This window comes from Homo sapiens, chromosome 11, assembly GCF_000001405.40.
Source record: "Homo sapiens chromosome 11, GRCh38.p14 Primary Assembly".
In the NCBI taxonomy this organism is placed as follows: Eukaryota; Metazoa; Chordata; class Mammalia; order Primates; family Hominidae; genus Homo; species Homo sapiens.
This window is the reverse complement of record NC_000011.10, coordinates 61939941-61949629: the sequence shown is the minus strand read 5'-3', so window position 1 is coordinate 61949629 and position 9689 is coordinate 61939941. Positions and strand designations below refer to the sequence as shown.

At 45.8% G+C, this 9689-nt stretch overlaps 1 protein-coding gene across 1 annotated transcript in view, besides 3 other annotated features; it reads left to right on the top strand.

Moving 5' to 3' along the window:
- The window catches only part of RAB3IL1 (RAB3A interacting protein like 1), a 49023-nt gene continuing 42640 nt past the window's right edge, over positions 3307 to 9689 (top strand). The window contains exon 1 of the mRNA XM_011545197.3: positions 3307 to 3857. Within this exon, the coding sequence (XP_011543499.1) occupies positions 3829 to 3857 (29 nt within the window). The 5' untranslated portion in view covers positions 3307 to 3828. The remainder of the gene's footprint in view (positions 3858 to 9689) is intronic.
- Positions 3418 to 3581: a silencer, noted in NCBI's record as "fragment chr11:61713521-61713684 (GRCh37/hg19 assembly coordinates)". NCBI's record gives its function as "represses an EF-1alpha promoter that drives an FKBP-Casp9 reporter gene in an ReSE screen in phorbol 12-myristate 13-acetate-treated (for megakaryocytic differentiation) K562 erythroleukemia cells {active_cell/tissue: K562(+PMA)}" and the evidence as "EXISTENCE:reporter gene assay evidence [ECO:0000049][PMID:32094911]".
- Positions 5452 to 5953: an enhancer, noted in NCBI's record as "H3K27ac hESC enhancer chr11:61711149-61711650 (GRCh37/hg19 assembly coordinates)". NCBI's record gives its function as "activates a minimal SCP1, AML or CMV promoter by ChIP-STARR-seq in primed H9 embryonic stem cells {active_cell/tissue: H9 hESC(primed)}" and the evidence as "EXISTENCE:reporter gene assay evidence [ECO:0000049][PMID:30033119]".
- Positions 7123 to 7777: an enhancer, noted in NCBI's record as "NANOG-H3K4me1 hESC enhancer chr11:61709325-61709979 (GRCh37/hg19 assembly coordinates)". NCBI's record gives its function as "activates a minimal SCP1, AML or CMV promoter by ChIP-STARR-seq in naive H9 embryonic stem cells {active_cell/tissue: H9 hESC(naive)}" and the evidence as "EXISTENCE:reporter gene assay evidence [ECO:0000049][PMID:30033119]".

Genomic DNA, 9689 nt, shown 5'->3' with positions numbered 1-9689 from the left:
GTGAGTCTGGTGGGGGTTGACAGAACAGCCCTGGAGTTTATGCTGCTGGCTTCCAGCCAGCCAGTGCAATATGGGAATAAATGCCCAGATCCCCACGGGCAGCTGGTGAAAATCTCAGCATGTGATTCAATAAATTTTAATACATCAATCCATACTCAAGGGCTCTCCTAAGCTGTTGGAAGTGGTGGGTGTCTACCTACACACTCCTCTTGTATTGTTCAATGAAGAGAGCAGAGCTCTAGGCAGCAGTGGTTCTTGGTCTTTAGAGGCCGTAAGAATCGCCCAAATGTTTATTAAACGGGCAGTTTTCTGGATCTTTCTCCAGAGTCTGAGTCTGTGGCCTTAGGGATGTTGCATTTTAATCAAGCACTGCAGGGGATTATGAGATGTGTGGTTTTGGGACTAAACTTCCAGAAGCCCTGATTTTATAATATGACCTTGTGTCTTAAACCCACTCTCATCCTCCCTTTCCTGTCACCCTCTCTCTCTGAAATGTACTAAGCGTTAACTATGCTGAGATTGCAGGTGATTTTTCTACACACCACTTTTTTTTTCACTTTAAGTTCTGGGATACGTGTGCAGAATGTACAGGTTTGTTACATAGGTATACATGATGTGCAGGTTTGTTACATAGGTATACGTGTGCCATGGTGGTTTGCTGCACCTGTCAACCCATCATCTAGGTTTTAAGCCTTGCGTGCATTAGGTATTTGTCCTAATGCTCTCCCTCCCCTTGTCCCCCACCCCCACACACCATTTTTGCCTTTATATAATTATCTGCCTAGAAAAAAAAACACTATTTCGCAATGACCTTGAATACTTTTCTAATCATGGCAAACAATAAAGCTGTTGTTATTATAAGACTCTCTTTAGAGGCAGCCTTGTAGGAGTATTTACTGCCTCCCCGCTGCCCCATCGCTGTCCTCAACTGATATGGGGAAAGAAGCAGGTTCACTTCAGCCTCAGTCTCCTCATATGCAAAATGGGACAACGATGCCTACCTTGGCAGCCGAATGAGAATGATGGATGGGACATGTGTCCGTCAACTCTCCAAACCACTGGTGCCTGTGCCTGACCCCTACGAATTCTGATTTGATTGGTCTGGATGGACCCCAGGTGTTGGGATTGTTCAAGTTCTCCAGGTGATTCTGATTTTATGGCCTGTGCTGAGTCATTGCTTAATGGATTATTTCCCTATCCTGTATTCCCTTCCCAACCAACACATCCTGAAACTCAAGAGCTTTCCATTTAGAAGATGATAAATATATATTATATATATTTATATATTAACATATGTAAATATGTATTAATATGTCTATAATATTACAAATATATTTGTATGTACACATATATTTATACATATAAATATATAAGTAAATATATAACTATATTTTTGAGACAAGGTCACCCAGGCTGGAGTGCAATGGGTGTGATTTTGGCTCATTGCAACCTCCACTTCCCAGGCTCAAGCAATCCTCCCATCTCAGCCTCCCAAGTCGCTGGGACTACAGACGCACACCACCACACCCAGCTATTTTTTTTTTTTTTATAGAGATAGGGTCTCACTACATTACCCAGGCTGGTATTGAGCTCTAAGTTCAAGCAGTCCTCCCACCTAGGCCTCCCAAAGTGGTGGGATTACAGGAGTGAGCCGCCACACTCGGCCAATAAGTATGTTTTAACTAAAGTTAACACACATGCCTGGCACCATGCCTGGAACATTGATGCTCATTCTGTACTCTCTGAAGGAATAAATGAAAATCCTGCCTTTGTGGAGACAAGTTCTTGCCTTCCCTGTGGTGGCCACTAGAGAGCGTGCTTGACTAGCTGGCTCTGGCTGGGGAAGCCTGGTTCACTGGTCAGGATCAGTGCAGACCACGGAGCTGGCACTGCTTCATCTCCCTGACCCCGACCAGCAGCCATAGAGCCATGAGAGGGAGTTGGAGACACTAGAGTCCCTCCTCCCTGTTCCCTGAACCGCAGGCTCCTTGGCAATATCCCAGGAGTACCACCAGGACCATAGACAGTGCATGGCCAGTCTCCCTTCCCCTCCCAGAGGCCCCAGCATGTCCCCAGAGACATCCCATGAGCAGCTGCTCCTGGCCCTGCCCCAGAGCTGAGACAGGCACACCCTGGCACAAGTCATGGTCTCTCCTACTGGGTCTCAGCTATGAAAATGTCCCCAGTTAGCCAGGCACGGCTCAGGCACACAGCAAAGTCATGAGTGCTGATTGACCCAAGCCATGCCTGGAACAAGAGTCCCAGGATTGACCCCTGCAGAGATGGCACCCAACCCAGTCAAGGTCGCCCTCTTCTGCTTTCCGTTCCGCAAAGAAAATATTCGCCAAACCATTTCTCCTTCCAGAACTGAGCCTAATCTGATTCCTGCCTGTACGTATTCATAGTCAAAAAATTTGGAAACACTTAAATAACAACTCTAACACAGAATGGCAAGGCCTAAGATCTGTGCCAAGTGCACAGAGGTCAGGGAAATTTTTACAGACAATGGGGCATTTCGGTTGGGTCTTGAAGCATGAGTAGGAGTTCATGGAGCTGAGAAGAATGGAAGAGCATTACACATCAGGGGAACAACCTACGGAAAGTCATAGAGCTATTCCTGAAGGATGATTCAGTATCGCATGTTTATCCACATTTTACAAAGGAGGACACTGAAGCTCAAGGCCTGCCTTGTCCAAGGTCACACAGCTATAAATGGCTTGAGACTAGGATCTAGGTCTTTTGATTTTGGATCCTGAGCCCTTTCCCACTATCAGCTCTACAGTAAAGGTCAGTTTCTGAGAGGTAGAGTCTTACCTGCTAGGGTAGTGGTCTCTCTTGGGGTTGAAGGGAGGTCCAAAGGATGGGGCCTGCATGAAAGATACTTTTTTTTTTTTTTTGAGACGGAGTCTCGCTTTGTTACCCAGGCTGGAGTGCAGTGGCATGATCTTGGCTCACTGCAACATCTGCCTCCTGGGTTCAAGTGATTTCCGGCTAAGTATTGTATTTTTAGTAGAGATGGGGTTTCACCATGTTGGCCAGGTTGGTCTTGAACTCCTGACCTCAAGTAATTCACCCGCCTCGGCCTCCCAAAGTGCTAGGATTGCAGGCATGAGCCACTGTGCCTGGCCGCATGGAAGAAACTTTGACTGCAGCAGATTCCAAGCTCTCGAGCTCCCCAGCAGAGAGCCATCTCTTGGGGCAGCAGGGCAGAGCTGGGGAGATGCGCGGGGGTGCCAGACACAGAATGCTATGGCCTTCTCATCTAGAATTACCATAGCAACAGGAGCATCACAGAGGGCCTGCCTCGGTGCCCTTCTAGGCCCTGCCTCAGCTGGGCAGGAAGAAGGAGACCCAGCTTGGCTGGGGGCAGTAGGCAGGGGGCCCCGGGGTAAGTCAGCCAGGCCTGGATGCTGCCTCCAGGCTTTATGTGGGACACCTGCCAGCCCACACCCCTCTCTTGGGCCAGTCACAGAACAAATAGGGCAGAGGCCAAGAAAGAAAAGGAGGGGGCTTGGCATAGCTGGACAGGGGTGCTGGGGGACACTGCCAGTCCAGGGCCCGGAAGCCAGACAGACAACAGCACCTCCACCCTGAGCTCAGGCAGCCCTGATCCCTGAAGGACGGAGTAAACTCAACATTCAAAGAGATAGAAACATAAGCCCTGGGCACCACAGAAAGACGACAGAAACCAGGAGAGGCTGGGATACACCTAGGTCCAACTTCATCAAACCCAGTCCTGCCCATGACAACGGAATAGCATGGAATAGACCAGAGCTGGACCAACTAGAGACACAAGGCAAGAGGATCCACTGTGCTGCGAGGTCCCCCATGGACTCTGCCAGGCTGCAGTCGGCCAGGTGAGGCACTGACCACTATCCACCTTCCACCCACCCCCACCCCTCCAGCTCAGAACTGGGGCTCGTGGCAGGTGGGTAGCGGAAAGGACATCATGGGTCAGGCTTCTCCTAGACAACTGTGCAGGGCCTGGATGCTGTCAAAGGTTCACACCCAGTGAGTAGCCTCAGTGTCTTCAGCTCAAATGGGCATGTTGAGTTTGACGTGCTGTGAAAGAATGGTAAGTTTCTAGTCCAGCTGCTCATTTTGCAGACAAAGAAACTGAGGCACAGAGAAGGAAAATGACTTGCCTGAAGTCACAGTAGGCCGCCTGTCTAGGTGAGTGCAGCAACTCCCCGCTGCCCCAGGATGCTCCTGCGGTTCGCTTCCACGGCGAGCACTGAATGCCGACCGACCGTGTTTAGCGCTGCGGTGGCCACTGTGAGAGGGAAAGAATAGTAGAAACAATCAGTTCTCCCCATCTTGACCACTTACCAGGTGTCAGGCAGTGCACTAAGCGCTCTTTAGAAATGTCATCTACTCATCAAAACAACCCCTGGGGAAGAGGAAGGGTCATCCATCTGTCAGGTGGATGGATGTTGGAGAGGACGGCACAAGGGTAGGCTAGATGAGGAGTAAGCCACATTGGCCCCTATCTGTCAGGTCAATGGGCTGACGGCAGGCTGCCTTAGCTGCCTTTCCCTGCCTCAGATGCAGACTGGCTGGGCTTCCACAGCTACAGCCTTCTCCACCCATGCTAGGGCTACCAGACTTAGCCAATAAAACTACAGGCCAGGCCAGGTGTGGTGGCTCCTACCTGTAATCCCAGCACTTTGGGAGGCTGAGGCGGGTGAATCACGGGAGGTCAGGAATTCAAGACCAGCCTGGCCAACATGGCAAAATCCCGTCTCTACTAAAAATACAAAGATAAGTAGCCAGGCATGGTGGCGCATGCCTGTAATCCCAGCTACTCGGGGAGGCTGAGGCAGGAGAATCACTTGAACCCGGGAGACAGAGGTTGCAGTGAGCCAAGATTGCACCATTGTACTCCAGCCTGGTTGACAAGAGCGAAACTCCGTGTCCAAAACAAAAACAAACATTAGATGACATCCTGGCAAAACAACTACAGGACAGTCAGGCAAATAAGAACTTCAGATAGAAAAGTGAATAATTTTTAGTGTAAATATGTCCCGGGGGAGGGGCCCGGGAGCATCGTCCTTTTTTCTGTGGTCCCTCTGCTTTGCTGATTTGCTTAATTGGTCCATTCCTTCCTGCTGCTGACTTCTAGAACCTGGCTTCTCAAACTGAGGTCTGGGGCCCAGTTACATCATTTGGAAGCTTGTTACCAATGCAGAATCTGCCCTGGTGCAGTGGCTCACACATACAATCCCTACATTTTGGGAGGCTGAGGTCGGATGATTGCTTGAGCCCAGGAGTTTGAGGCTGCAGTGAGCTATGATCACACCAGCTCAGAACTGCAGTCCAGACTAGGTGACAGAGCAAGACCCTGTCTCAACAAAGGAGGGAAGGAAGGAAGGAAGGAAGGAAGGAAGGAAGGAAGGAAGGAAGGAAGGAGGGAAGGAAGGGAAGGAAAGGAAGGAAGGGAAGGAAGGGAAGGAGGTAGGGAGGACTCCATTCTGTAGGTCGTCTTTTTTACTTTGTTGAGGAGGTTCCTTGATGCACAAAAGTTTTTAATTTATTTTGAAGGAGGGAGGAAGGGAGGGGAGGGGAGGAAGATTCATGTATGCCTGCTTTATACAACTATAAGAGAGATTTAAGACTATTGCTTACAATTCAAAAGGACTAAATGCTTGTTATAAACAATTAGGAAACTACAGAGCAGTTTAAAACAAAACAAAACAAACTCCCAAACAAGGTTATCATTTTGATGTATTTCCTTCCAGTCTTTTTTTTATAATTTTAATATTGAGGGGCAATCCGTGTCCTGTAAAATTCACCTTTTCCACTTATGTATGTAGTGTTTACATATTTACTGATGCTAAAGCCATCCTAGTAGGTGTGCAGTAGTATCTCATTGTGGTTTTGATTCTCATTTCCCAGATGGCAAACGATGTTAAGTATCTTCTCATGTGCTTATTGGCTGTTTGTTTATCCTCATTGGAGAAATGTCTATCCAAGTCTTTTGCCCATTTTTTCAGTTGGATTGTTTGCCTTCTTGTTGTTGTTAGAATTATTTATATATTCTGGATACTAGACCATTATCAAGCACGTGATTTACAAATATTTTCTCCCATTCTGTAGATCATCTTTTTTACTTTCTTGAGGAGGTTCCTTGATGCATGAAAGTTTTTAATTCATTTTGAATTTTAAACATTAAAATTTTAATTTAGATAAATTTTGACACTGTCAAATCCAAGGTCATGAAGATTTACCCGTACGTTTTCTTCTAAAACTTCTATCGCTTTAGTTCTTACATTTAGGAATTTGACCTATTTTGAGTTAATTTTTATGTATCATTTGAGGTAAAGGTCCAACTTTCTTCTTTTGCATGTAGCTATCCAGGTGTCCATGTATATTTGTTGAAAAGCATATTCTTTCCTATTGACTTGTCTTGGCATACATGTTGAAAATCAATTGATAATACATATATGGGTTTATTTCTGGACTATCAATTCTATTGAGCTATATGTCACTTCAATATTTCATTGTTTTAATTATGTAGCTACGTAGAAATTTCGAAACCAGGAGTGTAAGTTCTCCAACTTTGTTCTTTTTCAAGATGGTTTTAGCTATTTGGGGTCCATTGCAATTCCATGTGAATTTTAGGATCGCCTTGCCCATTTCTGCAAAAAACGCAGTTGGAATTTTGATGGGGATTACACTGAGTCTGTAGATCACTTAGTCATCTTTACAACATCAAGTCTTCCAATCCATGAACATAGGATGTCTTTTCATTTATTTAGGTATTCTTTAGTTTCATTCACCACTGTCGTAGGGTTTTCAGTGTACAAGTCTTGCATCTTCTTGGTTAAAAATATTCCGAAGTCTCTTATTCTTTTTAATAAGAATAAAGTTCCATTTTGTAAATGGCATTATTTTCTTAATTTTATTTTCAGATTGTTTATTGCTAATGTATGGAAATACAGCTGATTTTTGTATATTAATCTTGTATCCTGTAACTTTGCTGAATTTATTTACTAGCTGTAATAGTTTTTGTGTGGATTCTTTAGGGTTTACTACATATAAGATCATGTCATAATTTGCCAGGTGCAGTGGTTCATGCATGTCATCCCAGCATTTGGGGAGACCAAGGAGGGAGAATTGTTTGAGCTCAGGTGTTTTTTGTTTGTTTGTTTGTTTGTTTTTTAATTTATTTTTTTATTGATAATTCTTGGGTGTTTCTCACAGAGGGGGATTTGGCAGGGTCATGGGACAATAGTGGAGGGAAGGTCAGCAGATAAACAAGTGAACAAAGGTCTCTGGTTTTCCTAGGCAGAGGACCCTGCGGCCTTCCACAGTGTTTGTGTCCCTGATTACTTGAGATTAGGGAGTGGTGATGACTCTTAACGATCATGCTGCCTTCAAGCATCTGTTTAACAAAGCACATCTTGTTTGTTTGTTTTGAGACGGAGTTTTGCTCTTGTTGCCTAGGCTGGAGTGCAGTGGTGCGATCATGGCTCACTGCAACCTCCATCTTCTGGTTTCAAGCGATTCTCCTGCCTCAGCCTCCCAAGTAGTTGGGATTACAGGAGCACGCCACCATGTCTGGCTAATTTTTGTATTTTTAGTAGAGGTGGGGTTTCACCATGCTGGCCAGGCTGGTCTCAAATTTCTGACCTCAAGTGATCTGCCCGCCTAGGCCTCACAACGTGCTAAGATTATAGGCATGAGCCACCATGCCTGGCCTTTACACTGATTTTCATATGTTCAACTACCTTGCTTGCATTCCCATGATAAATCCCACATGGACACGATGTATAATCTTTTTAACATGTTGCTGGATTGGATTTGCTAGTATTTGGTTGAGGATATTTGCATCTATATTCATAAGGGATATTGGTCCGTATATTCCTTCTTTTTTTTGAGACAGAGTCTTGCTCTGCTGCCCAGGCTGGAGTGCAGTGGTGCGATCTGGGCTCACTGCAAGCTCCGCCTCCTGGGTTCACGCCATTCTCCTGCCTCAGCTTCCCGAGTAGCTGGGACTACAGGTGCCTGCCACCACACCTGGCTAATTTTTTGTATTTTTAGTAGAGATGGGGTTTCACCACATTAGCCAGGATGGTCTCGATCTCCTGACCTCGTGATACACCTGCCTCAGCCTCCCAAATTGCTGGGATTACAGGCGTGAGCCACCACGCCCAGCCTGGTCTTTATATTTCTTTCCTTGTGAGATATTGTCTGGCTTTAGTTTTAGGATAATACTGGCACAAGAGAATGGGTTATGAAGTATATTCTTCTCTATTTTTTGGAACAGTTTGTGGATTGGCATTTATTCTTTATTTGCTCCTAATCGTTTCTCTATTGGAAGTTTTTTGATTACTGATTCAATCTTGTGTTTGAGGTCTATTCAAGTTTTCTGTTTCTTCTTGAGGAAGTTTTGGTTTCTAGGCATTTGTTCATTTAATCTAGGTTATCTAGTTTGTTGTCATACAATTTTTCATAGTGTTCTATAATTCTTTCTGTATCTGTAAGGTTGGTAGTAGTTTTTCTTTTTAAAATGTTTTATTTATTTTATTATTTATTTATAGAAACAGAATCTCACTTTATCACCCAGGCTGGAGTGCAGCTGTGTGATCATAGCTCACTGCTACCTTGAATTCCTAGGCTCAAGGGAGCCTCCTGCCTCAGCCTCCCAAGCAGCTGGGATTACAAGCACGTGCCACAGTGCCTGGCTAATTTTTACATTTTTTTTTTTGAGATGGAGTCTTGCTCTGTTGCCCAGGCTGGAGTGCAGTGGTGCATTCTCGGCTCACTGCAACCTCCACCTCCCGGGTTCAAGTCATTTTCCCACCTCAGCCTCCTGAGTAGCTGGGACTATAGGCAAGTGCCACCATGCCCCGCTAATTTTTGTATTTTTAGTAGAGACAAGGATTCACCATGTTGCCCAGGCTGGTCTCAAACCCCTGACAAGTGATCCGCCCACCTCGTCTTCCCGAAGTGCTGGGATTACAGGCGTGAGCCACCGCGCCCAGCCTAACTTTTAAACTTTTTGTAGAGATAGGGTCTCACCATCTTGCCCAGGCTGGTCTCGAACTCTTGGGCTCAAGGAATCCTCTCGCCTTGGCCTCCCAAAATGCCAGGATTACAGGCATAACCACTATGCCTGGCCACATTTTTATTTTTAATTTTTATTCATTCATTTATGTATTTACTTTTTTTTTTCTTTTTTTTTGAGACGGAGTTTCACCCTTGGTTGCCCAGGCTGGAATGCAATGGCATGATCTCGGCTCACCGCAACCTCCACCTCCCAGGTTCAAGTGATTCTCCTGCCTCAGCCTCCCGGGTAGCTGGGTTTACAGGCATGCGCCACTATGCCTGGCTAATTTTGTATTTTTAGTGGAGACAGGGTTTCTCCATGTTGGTCAGGCTGGTCTCGAACTCCCGACCTCAGGTGATCTGCCAGCCTCGGCCTCCCAAAGTGCTGGGATTACAGGCGTGAGCTACTGCACCCAGCCTATGTATTTACTTTAGAGACAGCATCTTGCTCTATCACCCAGGATGGAGAGAAGTGGTACGATCATAGCTCACTGCAGCTTTGAACTCCTGGGCTCAAGGCAATCCTCCTGCCTCAACCTCCCCAGTAGCTAGGACTACAGGCACGAGACACCATGTCCAGCTAGTAGTAATTTTTCTACTTTCGTTCCTTTTTTTTTTTTTGAGACAGAGTCTCACCC